This window comes from Homo sapiens, chromosome 3, assembly GCF_000001405.40.
Source record: "Homo sapiens chromosome 3, GRCh38.p14 Primary Assembly".
Lineage (NCBI taxonomy): Eukaryota > Metazoa > Chordata > Mammalia > Primates > Hominidae > Homo > Homo sapiens.
In genome coordinates this window covers 165,454,933-165,473,204 of record NC_000003.12, presented here as the reverse complement: position 1 = coordinate 165,473,204, position 18,272 = coordinate 165,454,933, and the positions used below count along the sequence as shown (strand labels likewise).

General features: G+C 34.8%; 1 long non-coding RNA gene across 5 annotated transcripts in view, besides 1 other annotated feature; it reads right to left on the bottom strand.

Annotated features, from left to right (window-relative positions):
- LINC01322 (long intergenic non-protein coding RNA 1322) overlaps positions 1–18,272 on the bottom strand; it is a 332,490-nt gene that overhangs the window by 66,233 nt on the left and 247,985 nt on the right. For 3 of the 5 annotated variants that reach the window (NR_174101.1, NR_174100.1, NR_174098.1), the window contains one exon: positions 12,573–12,753. The exons of the other annotated variants lie outside the window; for them this stretch is intronic. This is a non-coding gene — a long non-coding RNA (long intergenic non-protein coding RNA 1322). The remainder of the gene's footprint in view (positions 1–12,572; positions 12,754–18,272) is intronic. 5 annotated transcript variants of the gene reach the window in all.
- Positions 12,363–13,562: an enhancer, noted in NCBI's record as "CDK7 strongly-dependent group 2 enhancer chr3:165177431-165178630 (GRCh37/hg19 assembly coordinates)". NCBI's record gives its function as "activates an origin of replication core promoter dependent on BRD2, BRD4, P300/CBP, MED14 and CDK7 cofactors, with strong dependence on CDK7, by STARR-seq in HCT116 cells {active_cell/tissue: HCT116}" and the evidence as "EXISTENCE:reporter gene assay evidence [ECO:0000049][PMID:35650434]".

The window sequence follows — 18,272 nt, the reverse complement described above, 5'->3', positions numbered from 1 at the left end:
AATGGCCATACTGCCCAAGGTAATTTATAGATTCAATGCCATCCCCATCAAGCTACCAATGACTTTCTTCACAGAATTGGAAAAAACTACTTTAAAGTTCATATGGAACCAAAGAAGAGCCCGCATCGCCAAGTCAATCCTAAGCCAAAAGAATAAAGCTGGAGGCATCACGGTACCTGACTTCAAACTATACTACAAGGCTACAGTAACCAAAACAGCATGGTACTGGTACCAAAACAGAGATATAGATCAATGGAACAGAACAGAGCCCTCAGAAATAATGCCACATATCTACAACTATCTGATCTTTGACAAACCTGACAAAAACAAGCAATGGGGAAAGGATTCCCTATTTAATAAATGGTGCTGGGAAAACTGGCTAGCCATATGTAGAAAGCTGAAACTGGATCCCTTCCTTACACCTTATACAAAAATTAATTCAAGATGGATTGAAGACTTACATGTTAGACCTAAAACCATTAAAACCCTAGAAGAAAACCTAGGCATTACCATTCAGCACATAGGCATGGGCAAGGACTTCATGTCTAAAACACCAAAAGCAATGGCAACAAAAGACAAAATTGACAAATGGGATCTAATTAAACTAAAGAGCTTCTGCACAGCAAAAGAAACTACCATCAGAGTGAACAGGCAAGCTACAGAATGGGAGAAAATTTTTGCAACCTACTCATCTGATAAAGGGCTAATATACAGAATCTACAATGAACTCAAACAAATTTACAAGAAAAAACAAACAACCCCATCAAAAAGTGGGTGAAGGATATGAACAGACACTTCTCAAAAGAAGACATTTATGCAGCCAAAAGACACATGAAAAAATGCTCATCATCACTGGCCATCAGAGAAATGCAAATCAAAACCACAATGAGATACCATCTCATACCAGTAAGAATTGCAATCATTAAAAAGTCAGGAAACAACAGGTACTGGAGAGGATGTGGAGAAATAGGAACACTTTTACACTGTTGGTGGGACTGTAAACTAGTTCACCCATTGTGGAAGTCAGTGTGGCGATTCCTCAGGGATCTAGAACTAGAAATACCATTTGACCCAGCCATCCCATTACTGGCTATATACCCAAAGGATTATAAATAATGCTGCTATAAAGACACATGCACACGTATGTTTATTGCAGCACTATTCACAATAGCAAAGACTTGGAACCAACCCAAATGTCCAACAATGACAGACTGGATTAAGAAAATGTGGCACATATACACCATGGAATACTATGCAGCCACAAAAAATGATGAGTTCATGTCCTTTGTAGCAACATGGATGAAGCTGGAAACCATCATTCTCAGCAAACTATCACAAGGACAAAAAACCAAACACCGCATGTTCTCACTCATAGGTGGGAATTGAACAATGAGAACACATGGACACAGGAAGGGGAACATCACACTCTGGGGACTGTTGTGGGGTTGGGGGAGGCGGGAGGGTTAGCATTAGGAGAGGGTTAGCATTAGCATTTACCTAATGCTAAATGACGAGTTAATGGGTGCAGCACACCAACATGGCACATGTATACATATGTAACAAACCTGCACGTTGTGCACATGTACCCTAAAACTTAAAGTATAATAATAATAAAATTTAAAAAAAGACGTATAGGTCCTATGTTACTCTCTTTCACGACTTCAAATATATCACTTTATTGTCTACTGACTTGAATTACTTCTATGAAAAGTTAGTTCCAGGTTAATTGTTGCTCCTTTAAAACCAATCTGTATTGTTTCTCTAGCTGCTTTTTATTCTCTCTTTCTCTCTCTGTCTCTGTCTCTCTCTCTCTCTCCTTCCTCCCTCAGAATTTTCACTGTGTGAACCTAAGGGTGTGGGATTTTTTTCACTTTTTTTTTTTTTTTGCATTCTCAAAGTCTCTGTGATTGGTTTTGTTTGTTGTGGTCAATTTTGGGAAATTTGCAGAAATTGTATCTCTAAATATTGCTTCTTCCTCATTTTTTCTTTCTTCTCTTACTGAGAATCAAATTACACATGTTTTTGATCTTCTAATTTTGTTCTTTTTGACTCTGAAATACTGCCCTCTGTCTAACATACTTCATCTCTTCTTGCTTCATTCTGGAAATTTTCTTGTGATCTACTTCGAATTAACTAAATCTTCCTTTAGCTGTGTCTATTTTATGGTTGAACCAATCTATAAAATTCCTCATTTAGTTTCTTATTTTTTTAAGTTCTAGAACATTCATTTAAAAAAAAATTCTTGTGCTCTGCCAAATATTTCTATCTTATCATCTATCTCCTTGAATATAACAAGCAAAGTTGTTTAAACTCTTAAACACAGTTAGAGATAACTAGAAATCTGTGATTATCTAATTTAGTTTTAGATTTGAAATAATTTAAAACTAGGCCTCAATGTGTGGGAGAGTTACACCACTTGTTGTTTACTGAAGTTTTCTTCCTAGACTTGAGGGAGTTTCAAAAGCTTTGCTCAGCTTCTCAAACACTGAGCTATGTTTTTAAGAATCAGCTTAAGCTATTTGAGAGAAATTAGCACAAAATAACAACCATATTTAGATTTCTACCTTTCAAATCTTGACCTTGCAATTTTTTCACAGCTTTGTTAGCTCTGCCATGCCTTCAGGCTATTGTTTTTTTTAACTTTATCCAGCTTTTTAAGTTGTCTTCAATATGAATTTTGGTCCAAATTACCAAATTACTGGCATTTAAAAACTGCAAATCTGCATAATCTGTTTTTTTTTAATCTCTGAAGAATAATGACGAGAAAAGATATTTACAGGTCTTTATAATTTTCAAATGATACATTTCTAAATATTTTAAATACTCTGCAGAGCATGAATTGTTATACTCTTTAAAATTGTAATACATGAGCACAAAAACATCTATGTCCATAGAATTGTGTCATGTCATTTTTACACATATTCCTCTAACATTAAGTACCATTCTTGAACAAGCATGTCTCTTCCATCATTATCATCTTGACACATTGGACAGTGCCTTGTATATAGTAACTACTCAATACATCTTATAAATTTAAGGTATTTGATAGAAGTATAATAATTATCATTAAAATCTTTAGTGGCTATTTTTAACTGGCTATTTTAACCCTAGCCTTTTTCAAAAATGCATATAAAAATATAATTAAATATAAATTATGTTTTTTAAATAAGTTCCAAGGCTTAAAACAAATTTAACAACATCGTAAAAAAACTCATATTGTAAATTGTTTATACTGAAAATATTTTATGCATGTATCCAAATGCATCAGTAAAAAAAATGGTTATTTATAATTATATACACATAATACATATATTTAAATACTAAATAAATAAATGTAATAATTATTAATAATTTTCATCTCTCTGTGACTTCGTGAAGCTCCAGTAGTTACTCAAATTAGTGAAGTAATCCAGTTTAAGGGTTTTCATATTCAGGTTCAGGGTCCCCTATAGCCTCAGGCATTGTTCTTCTTAAGATACTTGGTCTTTCTCTACTTTCCTTGGAGTTAGAAGCAAATAGCAATTATCTTTGGCAGCATATACAATGTTGCTGTGGTTTAGAGTGGAATAATCTCTGGTTGTGTTTTTTTCCATTTTGGTCACCAATACACTGTTTAACTCCCTCAAACTATGTTCAAGATGTTCTTAATGGTTTAGAACTACTAGATATAATTCTGTCTCTATTTGATGGATTGATAGAGTCCCTGTTTAGAGATATGTTTGTGCTCAGGTCCTTTTGTTTGTGTCTCTAGCCCTTTAAAAGAAAGATACTATTTACTCTTTTTCATTCAATATTTAGGATCCCTTCTTTCCTTTTTTTCCAAGCAGAGTTATTCATTACCCATCCACCTTCTATTCTTCTGTGTACAGTTCCACTCTTGTCTGAAGCTATTGTTTAAGCAGATAGTTGAATTTTTCTATCACTTACTTACATGTAAGTGTTTGTTCATGCTTCCCAACCCGCAAGATGAGCACGGAAAGAAATGGCCTCAGAAAACAATGCTAAGAGGGTGAGGAAAATATGCAGAAAATGTGCAGATTAAAATTTAGAGATATAATACTGGTACATACATTATCCTATTTATATACCTAAAAGTCTGAAAAGAAAGAAAAAAGCCTTTGTTTTATGCCACTATGTTCCAGACCACATAGAAAAGATGTTTATATTTAATAAGAATTATAATTTTTTAAGGCAGATGTTTATAGATGAGGAAACTAAACTTCAGAGTGGTTAAGGTGGTTTGCCAAATGTCACACAGTAAGACAAATTGTCAGAATTTAAACCCAGGTCCTGCTGGCTTCTAAACTAGGCCTGCAGATTTCTATTTCATGCTTATACTTATGTTGAAGATATAAAAATACACATATCTAAATCTATGTCTTGTCTCATTTTAGATTTTATATATGACTTCATTTGCACAGATTAAAGTCACTTTCCACTGGGCTAAATATCCAGAGCTGAAGAATTTTTATAGGCAATGAATTAATGTATATGAAAACTTAATGAATATTACATATTACAATTAGGTAGAACCTTCTTTCCTTATCCCATTTCCTCTGCAAAGGAGAAAAAGGAAGGACAAAAAAAATGCTTGATTCCCCTCCTGATTTACTGTAGCTGCCATTTAAAATGATTAGTTATACCAGAGTTACCAAGTTGCTGTATAGATATTATTTAAATTGGATTGTTGGACAAGCAGGAAGAGGAAGGCTAGTGTAGAGGAATGGGCTATTAAGAAATAATACTGATCATATTTATATTTTATAAACATTTGTTATTGGCCAGGCACTTTGCAGAGAGCTTTTCATGTATTACCAAATTAATAATTTTATTGATCGTTAAATCTTGACTTTAACCCTATGAAATAGTATATGCTACCATTTTTATAAGTGATAAAACAAAATGGAGAATGCCTAAGAATAAGTTTAGTATAGTGATTACTTATAGTGGTTTTTAAATTTAATTTGGCTACGTTTCCTATTTTTGCTGTTCAAGCTTTAGATCAATGCTTCCCAAACATTAGGCAGCAAAAAATCACCGGGAGATCTTGTTAAAATGCAAATTCTAATTTTGTAGGTGGAGGGGTTTGGATATGGTTTACTTGTCCCCACCAAAGCTCATATTGAAGTTTGGTCCCCATTGTGATGGTGTTGAGAGTTGGGGCCTAATGGCTGGTGTTTGGGCTATGGGGATGAATCCCTCATGGGTAGCTTGGTGCTATTTTCCTGGGAGTGAGTGATTCTGGCTCTCACGAGACAGGATTAGTTCTCACGAGAGTGAATTGTTAGAAAGCCAAGACACCTCTCAGGTTTTCCCCTCTTTTCATGTGCCTGCTTCTCATCTTATCTTCTCAGCCATATTTTGATGAGCACAAAAGCCCTCTCCAGAAGCCAAGCAGTCATCAGCATCATGCTTCTTGTCCAGCCAACAGAACTGCCAAATAAACCTCTTTTCTTTATCAATTACCTAGCCACAGATTCTGCTTTAAGCAACACAAGACAGTAGGTCTCAGGTGGCGTCAGAGATTCTGCACTCAAACAAGCTCCCACAAACCATCCTTTAAGATACAAGACTTTAGATCACTGCTTTTTCCATTAAGTCCAATCCTTAAAGCCCTTTATACTGATTTTACATTAGTTAAAAATGAAGCAGGTATTAATATTTAAATTCATTAAATAAATTTGGTAACCAGATACACATCTATTACTTGATAACTTAGACTGTGTAAGAATAGATAATTCTAAACTTTGTACTTTATGACTACGAATTAGGGTTCATGTCCTATCAATGTCTCCAGAAACAGGCTCATCTTTTCTGGCTTTATACAAATGCTTTACACAAATTGTCCCTGTCCCATTACCACTTAGACACTGCTCCATGAACTATTGAGTTTGCTCTAGCCTTAAATTAGTTTTCTATAATCATATATTTAGTGGCTTTAAACGCTACAAATTTATTGTTTTATAATTCCATGGGTCAGAACTCCGGTGGGCTCTAAGAGAGGTTCTGTTTTCTTGCTTGTTCAGGTTGTTGGCAGGATGTTCCATCCAGTGGGTAGAACTGAGGTCTCTATTGCTGCGGTTGTCAGCTGAGAGCCGTTACTAGCTCCTGGAGATTGCTTGCACTCTTCAGCTCATGGCACCCTTCCTCTATCTTCAAAGCCAGCAACAGCTAATGGAATCTCTCTCATGCTTGAAGTATTTCCTGCCTCTTCTGTCACATCTCTCTGACTCTCTCTTGCACTCACCAGAAATAATTTGTTTCTAAGTGTGTATATGAGTAGATTGGGCCTATTTTAATAATTTAGGATAACGTATCCATTTCAAAGTCTGTAATCTTCATCTGATATGCAGAATCCCTTTTTACAAAGAAAATTCATATTCAGGTTTTCAGAATTCCCAGGATTATGACATGCACCTATTTGGGGGACTATTATTCTAACACACAAGCCTGTTGTGTGGGATAGGCTTGTTTTAGCTAGATTTATTAGCTAAAATGAGAAAAACTAAGTGAAACAGAAGAAGAATGTATTAAAGCTTCTAAGATATCCCTCAGAAATTCTAGGAGGGCCAGAAAACTGGTTTTAGAGATTATGCAGCCAGAAGTAATATCTAAGCCAACCACTAAACTATTCACAGGCTTGATTCCAGTACAGGCATTGCAAACCATACATATGGGACCCTAAGCGCAGCCCTTCCACAACAGTTGTTTCTCAGTCTCAGTGTCTATGCCAACCTCTGCCATATTTACTAGGTATGAATTCCTCAAAAAGCCTGCCTCTTCTTGTTTTGCTCTGCTGAACACTGAAATATTGTGGAGGTACATTTCACTGGGGAAAACAAATAAATATCTGTCTCTTAGCCACAAAGGAGGTGACGAATTGAATTTTGGATTTTTCTTTAGTATCAATTTTGCCAAATATAGGGAAAAAAGAATTTTTAAAAAGTTCTGATCTATAAGTATGACTCTACAACCTATATAATCCTTGGATTTAAATAAAGCTCTAAGAAGGCTAGTCCTCACCTGGCTGTTCCTCGCCTTCAACACAAAAGAATGCTTCTCCAAGCCTCCCAAAAGGCCTAGGGAGTCCACCTACACTACGTTAGTTAATATAGTAACATTCATGGTTGTATTTTGAAAAGATGGTGACATTTAAAGACTCAATAACTCATAGAATCATAAAAGTAAAGCCTCAAGTATTTCTTAAGAGTTCTCACAAATCTGCAGCAGGGACAATTTAGTTTTTTTTGTTTATATTCATGGAATTTTATACCAACTCAAGGTGTTTTTCTCTAGTCATAGGGCTCTGGAGCCTGGATTAAATGACCCTAACAATAGCCTGTGTTGTACACATTATGTTTAGCTTACAAATCCCATTAATACAGTACTTTTTGCTCATGTCTACTATCTAGAAATTACTATGAACAATAGTGCACTGTCTGTCAGTATAGTTGGAGGATTGGTTCCAAGACACTACATAAACACAAAATTGGTGCATACTCAAATCCCGCAGTCCTGCCTGTGGAATATATGCACACTAAAATTTGGCCCTATGTATAGGCAGGTTTGCCTACCACAAAGGTTTTATTTGTTTGGTTGGAAAAAAAATTGAGTATAAGTGGACCTATGTAGTTTAATTCTGTGTTGTTCAAGGGTGATCTATCTATTTATTACTATCTTTATTTTACTGTAGAATAATCACTGGATTAATTGTTTAAATTGGGAAGACCTTGATCTGAATTCTCTGTCTCATTTTCTGCATCTCTCAGATTGGGATGCTAGCATTTAACTCATGGGATTTTTTTCAAAATTAAAAGGGATAAAACGTGTATCACTTGGTTGCTATTAATACAATATAAATTTAGAACAAAAAGTGGATTTAGTAATATTTAAAATAATTTCTTAACAGTGACCCAGTTGGTCAACTGATGATTCAGATTTTGAAATGGAAAAGCCTAATGTCTGCTCACATTTAATCCAAGATTTTTCATTTAGAACAAGACAGACATTTCTATCTAGAGTTGAGGTTACAAACTATGGGAAGGAAAAAGAAGGTTTTCCTGGAAAATCTAATTTTTCCTCTGAGAATTAAATCAGTGGCCCTAGCCATGAACTTTCTAGAATCATATGTAATATAAACTATAACCTAAAGGCATTTCCATAAATAGCAAACCATGAAATCATGCCACAAGAATGACCGACTGATGTGGTCAAGCTATTCATCTTACACATAGTTTATTCAATAGTAATGTTTGAGTTCACTGGGAAATATATCCATGAATTTGATGTTTGTATCCTGTCGCATCCAAATTGAGATTAGTCTCTGCACATGAAGTCAGCAGTTTGGCTTGAATCCCCTTTCCTCCCAGTTGCTAGCTATGGGCCTATGCATTCATTTTATTAATAAGCAATTCCTTATTGAGGGACTGTACACCATGTAAGATAGGTGCTAGGGCTCTAGTTCACATGACAGACACCATTCCCGTCTTCACAGAACTTTTAATCATGGTAATAGTAGTTGCTGAATGACAGCCATTAAACAACCAATTACAAAATTATTTCATTAAAGTTTGAATGAGAGCTATTGAAAAAATATTTATAATTTTCACACCAAATCAATTCCTAACTGCAAAATTTTGAAAATAAGATTGTCTTGAAAGAAATTTATGTCCTATGCCACTCATTGTAAAAAAATAAAGTACACATTGTATTAAGTTTAGAGATGTTTAAATGATGCCAAGTAAAAGAGGTTAATTTCTAGCATTTTGCTAGTGAGGCCTTTTATTAAACATCACTTGTAATTTGAATGTTGCTTCTTTCAATTTCTTATAATTAGTTAGAATTTATTCCAAGCCACATCATCATATAATCTAAAATAATAACTTCATTGACAATGTGCAGTAATAATTGCTGTCTGGTTATCAACAGTGAACTATGATGATTGGGCTGATAGTGTTAATGCTGGTCTTTTAAAGTCAGTGCATCAATATTAATATATTCCAAAAGAGTACCAGCCAATTAAACCTTCAGTGAATTTTATCCTAGTTTGGTTGCCCTGCATTCCACTATGTTTTAATTTCTCAATTGTTAATAAATATAACTTCATCTTGTTGATCTATAGCACCTGTCATCAAATAGCACTGTAATTTGTGACGCCAGAATTTAGTATCTTAAATAAATGTCTTTAGGATGACCATCTCAATAACTAAATACAAAATGTTTTTTGCAGGAATGAAATACTGCTTACACTCCATCTGGAGTACTTTCATCAACTCAAATCTATCTTATTGCTTATAAAAATAATCATTATACCATGACTTTTTCCTTAAGTAAGTTATCTGAAAACTTTTTTGTCATATTTTCAGTCTTTATCACTTGTTGAGAAATTTTAGTAAGTCCCTGAATCAGAGAATCTCCTTCTTTCAAATTAAGTTGCTATTACAAAATTTAATCATTCATGTCATCACTCGTAGTGATTCAACACATTAAAACTATAGCTCTCTGGCACTAACACCAAGAATCATATGTTTCCCTTTAACACTGTAGCATCTTCTTTTGAAGCTGTTACAATATTCCTGGAAATGGTTTAGCTTGTCTATGTGATACATTTTCATTAAAAATATCTCATTTAGAATAAGTCATAGTGATTCAACTGAAGTCTGCAAAAGACATTAATATACATAGTCAATAAGCATTAATATTATGTTTAATACAGAGTGTTTCACTCAATATATTGACCTCACTTTGCTGACAAAAATATTCTGTTGATATTACAGAAAATATTCACTATTATTTAATGTCACTTAAATATTTTGCATAATGCGAGATGTTAAACAAACCTTTATTTTAAAGGAAAGTAACACTTGGCTTTTGTGATTTTCTTAAACATTCAAAATGAAATGCTCTGACTTTAGAAAAAAATGTCCCTACCACTTCTATTTGACAGCATAGCCATGTTTGAAAAATGATAGAAGATTCAGCGAGGTCCAAAAGAACAGAATTAGCTTTATAAGGACATGTTGGGAAAGTATTTTTTCTGTCATGATATTGCACAAAGCAAATACACATACTTATTAAGTCATTGAAACAGACATGAAAGAAAAGACCGTTAAAAGAACTATCTGTCATAGTAGTTATTAATGATGAAATTTTAGATGGGATTCTGTCCAATTAGTTTCTGTGACTCTCAAGTTCTGCATAAATTTGATAAAATTTGCTTGTTTGCATCGTGATTTTTCTGAGGCTCTCTTTCCTGGGCAAATCTCCAGATTGGCAAGCTCAAGCGGATTTTAAAATAGCCTTTCCATATATCACCCACACTTGTCCTGCTTGGGGACGGATTGACGTTTGAGCTTTGAGGGTTGTAACTAAGCTGCTTTTCTCTGCAGAAAAGTTCATTTTACTTCAGCTGTTGCAGATACCTCCCTTACCTCCCACTAATTCAGTGTTTTCCAATTGTGTCAGCCTGCTTCCAACAGCTCAAGCACACCATTTGAAGTTCACAGTAAAAGAATGCCATGAAGAGCAACTTTTCCAAACTCATTCTTCACTCTTGACATGTTACATAACTTTCCTACATGGATAAAGTATAATAATATATTTATTTTTCTTTCAGTTCAGATAGGGAACTGTTAGACTGGCCAACCTGATGTTTTTTTCTAACATTTAAACATTTAATTTATTCTTATTAATGAGGTTTAATCTTTATAATCTAATTTGTAAAATAATTTAAAAATTCTTGAATGATCTCAATCAATCCATGTATTTTGGTTCTTTTCTAAGAGCAAAGCTTTCTAAAAAAGCATACAGAAGGTAGAAGAGGATCTCAAACAGAAATTAAAAGTAGGAATCTAAAATCTGGCAGCACCTATCACATACAAAATGCAACTTAATATATTTCTTTGGGCCTGATTAGTACTAGTAGCACACCACTAATGAGGTCTAGATTATAGACTCATAGAACGTTGGAACAGACCTAGAAAGAATCTATAAACTGATCTAGGTCAAAATTCCTACCTCTTCACTTTCAAGAAGAGGAAAATGATTCTTGTAGAGTTAAATGACTTGGCTAAAGCCAAATAACTACTTACAGAGCAGAAATTAAACCCAAGGCCTCCTAACTTCTGTGCCATTGCAATTTTTCCTAAGAATAATAAGTATAGCTTATGTAATCCTTTATTAACAGTGAAAGCAGCCCCACATACATGTCCTTTGACAGTGGATCAAGATCATCATCTTCATATTAAATAGCAAGCTTTATTACTCACACACTGATTAAGGGAAGGACTAAAGCACATGGTTTTCCACTTCCTCACTAGGTTACACCCAATAATTTTTCAATGTTTTATTTCATAGCCAAAACAAGAAAAGTGGTAAAATAGTATTTAGTTCATATAAGTTTCCAGCAAATATGTATGAAAATGGTTTAAATGTATATTCAAATGCTTTAAACAGTAGTTTCTGTGTTGATAATATGTTTGCTCTAGAGAAGAATATCGTGGTTGATAAGGCCATTTTGTGAGCCAGGACAACTGAGTTCAGACACCACAGTTTAATCATATGTTAATGAAAATAGGTTAATGAAAGTACTGACCTCACAGGGATATTTGATAAAATGTGTTAATATGGCTATGTTGATATTGTTATCAACCACCATTATTATTTTTTTCCAAAGATTTGTAGTAATAAACTGTTTTAAAAAGAATGGCTATATTGTGTTCACTATAATCTGTTCTCTATGAAGGATACATTCTTTTAATAAAATATTTACTGGCAAATTGCATCTGAGGCATTTTTTGAGTTGAATTTAGAACCATAAGCAATAAGATTTCAACATTAAAAATGTATGGTATATAAATGACTTTATACTAAGCTACAACTAAAAATAATTGCTGATCAAGGTGTTAAAACTTAAAAATGTAAAGTAAAAAGTTTTCTCCTATATGTCCCCTATTGCTTACTGACTTCATATTCTCCCTCAGTTTACTTGTATGAAAAAAAAAAAGTATATTGGACAAGATAATCTGTGAGAAATTTCCAGTCCTAAAGCTTTAATTGCATTTCTTGATTTTATGTCTCATTTTCAAAGGAAGCTTTCGCACTCTCAGAAATAGGTAACAAAGCAAATGTTTGCTAAAAAGTAAGCATTTCAGCTTTAAGTAATAGATAAATTTAAGTAATAGATAGATTTAAGTGTTTCAGGTTTAAGTAATAGATAGATTATCTTCTGGATTTTTCTAAATATTAGGTTTCCAAAAAGAACACAGCGGTAATTTAGTATATAGAATAGCTTTGTTGAAAGTGAATGATAGGGTACCTGTATAAAAATTCAGTGAAATTAGAATCCTGAAAATTATTTTAGACAGATACATTTAGACAGTAAATATGGGGTTAAATCACAGGAAACGTTTCATAAGAAACAACGTTTACTTTAAGACCAATATTTTCTGGAGCTTTTCATTTATGTTATAGAAGCTATTTCTCACCTCGTTAGTTGGAATTCTCCAGAGAAACAGAACCAGTAGGATGTATATACAGAGAGAGACTTATTTATTAGAAAGGAATTGGCTTACATGGTTGTGGAAGCTGAAAAGTTCCAAGATCTGTAGTCAGTAAGCTGGAGTTCCGGAAGAGTCAATGCTGTAGTTCCAGTCTGACTCCAAAGGCCTAAGAACCAGTAGAGTTGATAATGTGAGTTTTAGTTCAGGGACCAGCAGGCTTGAGAGCCGGGAAAAGCTGACGTTTAGTTTGAGTCTGAAGGCAGAAAAAAAAGGCACATGTCCCAGTTCAAAGGTAGTCAGGCAGGAGGACTTCCCCCCTTACTCATGAAAAGGTCAGCATTTTTGTTCTAGTAACGCCTTCAACTGATTGGATGAGCCCCACCCACATTGTTGGGTCGGGAGAGGCGGCAAACTACTTTACTCAGTCTACAAAAATGTTCATTTCATCCAGAAACAACCTCACAGAAACATCCGGATTAATATTCAACCGAATGCTTCGGTGTGCTATGGCCCAGTCAAGTTGAGACATAAAATTAACTATCACACTCACCTTCCTAAAAGTGACTGGGTGTTAGACTGGTTCACCCTTTCCCTCCCTCCACCTTGCATCCCACAGTTAATCACAAACGAGGGTGTTGAAGGTGAACAACAGCCCCGCTTCCTGACTTCAGGGGATGACAAACTGTCTTGTCATTTGTGGTCCAAGTTCACAGGGGATCAGAACGAACTTAGTCTTCACCTGAAAGCACATCTTGTGCAGCTCCTTCTCCTTCTCCACCTTGCTTCCCTCACTCCCTTACTTGTTTCTCCTGAGAACACTATCTTAATGAATCAATAGCATAAAATTTCCTATTGGAGGTCGGCTTTTAGGGAACCAGATGTAAATAATAGCTTTGCAGCCTTTGGAAAAACTGTGGGAGAAGCCCAAGGAGGTAAAAAGTACTTATACTTTTTTCAACCTCTCCTCAACAAATCTTCAGTTATCTATTTTTATAATTTAAACCTTAATTTTATAGGAGTGTATGAATTTTACATATATATAGAGTAATGCATATCAAAGTATATAGCAATTCTTATATAAATAAATATCCAATATTTTTGTTATAGTTTGTAGTTGTATTTAGCCTCTATACTTTGTCTATATGGTTTTTAAAAGTGGAAGGTCTTTATACAACATTTAAAATGTAAGGACATGTAAATAAGCATCGAATGGAGAATCAAGGAGTGAGACTGGATCTATAAGGGAAAGAAATATAATATTCCTGATATTCTTTAAAATTGCCACTCAAAGTAGAATCTTCCAAGACTAAAATCAACAGATCTTCTTTCCCATCTCCTGTCTTCTGCTGTATCATTGTTAACTCATGTGGCCTCTCATCTCTGATGAGATCTGGTTATGAATCAGAATAGTACGCTCATAGACATGCCCATGCTCGTGGACATGCCTCTTGTATCTGTTATCTGCTTTGTTTCCTTTTTTCTTTTTGCTAAAGTAACTTTTTTCAAACCACGTCCTCAGTTGGTTAATATTTCATAACTAAGACCCTTCAGTGGGTTGACCATTATGTATGGACTTTGATTGCCTTTCTTCTGTATTTTTGCAATAAGCTAATTATCACTGCATGCAGCTTGGGCTTATTGGCTATACAATCATTAGAATAATATATTATAGTTAAATACTCTAACAATGTAATTATAGATGCACATAGATAGAAGATAGTATTTACAAAATGTGAATTATAGATCATTGAAAGAAATACATACTGTCTAATTCTGAATGTAGAGAAATGTAAACCAGACAACTTAACCATATCTATGTATCCCATGCTAGGTCTAAGGGTGTCTTGCACTACCTTATAATGAACCGGATAAAAAGTAGGTTAGCGTTCCCTTTTTTCTTTTCCTATTTTCATTTTATTTAATAAAAATTGCACGAACACTTAACTTATCCATTTACTCCCTTATAGTTGAAACAATCTAAAATAGTGGAAGAACCATGAATTACAGAAACCAGTAATTACAACCATTAATTCAGAAGAGTTAGCTAAATATAAGATAAAATCCTTGGCCACTACAACTCTGAGTGTGATCCACGAACGGTAATTTCTCAAGATGCCCTATAGGGGAGAAACTTTTTTCATGTTCAAACAGATGAGGGAAACACTGTTTATTATAACTACAATTTTAGAAGTCACGCTTCGCATTGGTATGTTAAATATTATAAGCTGTTCTCATTTAAACCTAAGCAAAGCTAATCTAAATGAGAAACAAACAATAACAACAAAATTCTGCTTAATGTTATTTAACAAACCATTACAAACAATAGACCTTGGATATTATTTGTAATTAACACTTATTTACAAGAGCTTGAGTTCTGTGTATCATATTTGGGTAATAAAAGTTAATGTATTAGATAAGAAAACAAAATTATTGAGGAGTTAGAACATGATTACTCATTTTTAAACAAAAGGATAAACAAATAATCAGTAGTAGAATCTCCTTAATTTAAAGAACTAACTTAATAAACAGAGCCTATTCTCAGATAGTTTTAATGCTAAAAAAAGGCAATTCACGAAGCCATAAAGATTCTGTTTTCACTACATATTTATCAATAAGTATTGAGTATTTCATATAATGTACTATTTTCATAAACTATTTTCATGAAACAAGGTAATGAATGCTATTTATGGCTCCTGGATAATTGTTTAAAATCATGAAAATTTTTCAATTAACAGTAAATTCTGATGCTTAAAAATACCTGCTTTATGAAAAAGAAGTTGGTAGAAGATCAAGATGAAATCACATTTTTTTAATTAATTATGTAATCGTGGAAAATTTACTTAACCTTGGACAATTTGTTAAAAGATATCAATCACGCTTTCTTTATTCATCTCTAGAATTATTGTCAGGATCAAATAAAATATAAGAAAGCATACTGAAAAGCATCACAAAACATGGTATAATTGAAGAGATTTAAATTGTAGCTTTTACTAGGAAGTATCTTAAATTCTGTTAATACTAGTATTCACCTAGAAAACAAAATTTACTTATTCAAAATTTATTTATTGACTGGAGTGCCAAGTATGTGCCAGTACCTGTTCTAAAAGCTTTCCATATATAATTAAGCAAAAAAGACAAATCAGTAGAATTCTTATCTTGCTGGATACCACAATATAATGTCTTTGCTTTTTCTGGCTGGTCATAAATTTTATCATGCTTTTTGCCAACTCCAAAATAAGAGAAAGTTTGCCAGAGGGATCTTAGTTGGTGAATATATTAGTCTTTTGTAACTAATTGCTGTAAAATTATTATTATATCAGAGTCGTGGGAACCAGGGCAACTTCATCTTGAATAGAGGCTGGGTAAAATGAGGCTGAGACCTGCTGGGTTGCATTCCCAGAAGGATGAGCATTCCTAGTGACAAGATATTTAAGATATTTCCAGTTAAGGGAATAGATGAATAATGTCTGCTAAACAGACCCGGCACTTAACAAAGCCAGGAAGTGTCCTGATATCCCACATCTAAAGGACAAAAACATTCTTTTTTTTTTTTTTTTTGGAGTTGGAGTCTCGCTCTGTCGCCCAGGTTGGAGTGCAGTGGCGCGATCTCTGCTCACTGCAAGCTCCCCGTCCCGGGTTCACCCCATTCTCCTGACTCAGCCTCCTGAGTAGCAGGGACTACAGGCGCACGCCACCAGGCCCGGCTAATATTTTTGTATTTTTAGTAGAGACGGGGTTCCACCGCGTTAGCCAGGACGGTCTCGATCTCCTGACCTCGTGATCTGCCCACCTCAGCCTCCCAAAGTGCTGGGATTACAGGCGTGAGCCACCGCGCCCAGCCGACAAAAACATTCTTAGTTTAATAATGAGTTTCTTGCCAAAGTCAACAGTTACACAAAGCTTAATAATCTTTTGTCAGGAGTCCTTGTACTGGAGCCCATTTCCCCCATGATTTTTTGCCTTTATTTTATTTTAATTTTATTTTTATTTTCGTTCAGTTGTTGTAGGGGAATAAGGTGGTGTTTCATTGCATGGAAAAGTTCTTTAGTGGTGATTTCTGAAATTTTGGTGCACCTATCACCTGAGCAGCTTACTCTGTACCCAATGTGTAGTCTTTTGTTTTTCACCACCTGCCAATCTTCTCTCCAAGTCCCCAAAGTTCATTATGTAACTCTTATGCCTTTGCATCCTCATAGCTTAGCTCCCACTTTTAAGTGAGAACATAAAATGTTTGGTTTTCCATTCCTGAGTTACTTCACTTAGAATAATGGTCTCTAACATCCCAGTTGCTGCAAATGCCATTATTTTGTTCCTTTTTATGGCTGAGCAGTATTCCATGGCAGATATATATATATCACATTTTCTTTATCTACTTGCTTGTTGATGGGCATTGAGGCTTGTTACATATTTTTGCAATTGCAAATTGTCCTGCTATAAATGTGTGTACGAGTGTCTTTTTCATATAATGACTTCTTTTCCTCTGAGTAGATACCCAGTACTGGGATTGCTGGATCAAATGGTAGTTCTACTTTTAAATGGTTGTATTAATTTATATTCTCACCAGCAGTGTATAAATGTTCCTTTTTTTTTTAACCACATAATGCCAACATCTATTTTTTTTGACCTTTTACCAATGGCCATTCTTGCAGGAGAAAGGTGGTATCCTATTGTAGTTTTAATTTGGATCTCCCTGACGATTAGTGATGTTGAGCATTTTTTCATGTGTTTATTGGCTGTTTGTATATATTCTTTTGAGAACCGTCTAATCATGTCCTTTGCTCACTTTTGGATGGGATTATTTGTTTTTTCTTGCTGATTTCTTTGAGTTTCTTGTAGTTTCTGGATATTAGTCCTTTGCCGAATGCATAGTTTACAAATATGTTCTCCCACTTTGTAGGCAGCCTGCTTAGTCTGCTGATTATTTCTTTGGCTTTAATTAGGTCCCATCTACTCATTTTTTTATATGCTGTATTTGCTTTTGGATTCTTGGTCATGAATTATTTGCCTAAACCAATGTCTAGAAGGTTTTGATCCATCTTGTGTTGATTTTTGTATAAGGTAAGAGATGAGGACCCAGCTTACTTCTTCTCCATGTGGCTTGACAATTATAACAGCACAATTTGCTGAGTAGGGTGTCCTTTCCCCACCGCAAGTTTTTGTTTGCTTTTTGAAGACCAGCTGACTGCAAATATTTGGCTTTATTTCTGCGTTCTCTATTCTGTTCAATTGGTCTATGTGCCTATTTTTATACCAGAGCCATGCTATTTTGGTGACTATGGCCTAGTAGTATAATTTGAAGTAGTGTAATGTGATGCCTCCAGATTTATTCTTTTTATTTAATCTTGCTTTGGCTATGTAGTCTCTTTTACGGTTCCACATCACTTTTAGGATTGTGTTTTCTAGTTCTGTGAAGAATTGACATGGCAGTGGGACAGGGATGTGCTGGATAGAAAAAGGTGGGGTCTCTGGCGACGGCTCCACTCTCAGGCTTGTGCCCATGGAACTAAGTGAGAGCAGGCACTCCTGTTTTTGCACCCAAATGTTGCATTTTCCAAGACCACTCTGGCATGCCATGCCCTCCATTCTGTGCCCATAGAAACCTGAGACCCTAGTGGGCAGAGACACAAGCAGCTGGACATCAAAAGGAGCAGAAGAGCACACTGACAGACACCAGTAGACACTGGCAGGCCATTGAGGGGGAATGACGTGGAATTTGGTCGGGGACAGTCAGAGGAGAGTCTGGCCACTGGGCAGCTTGATTCAGAGGAAAAC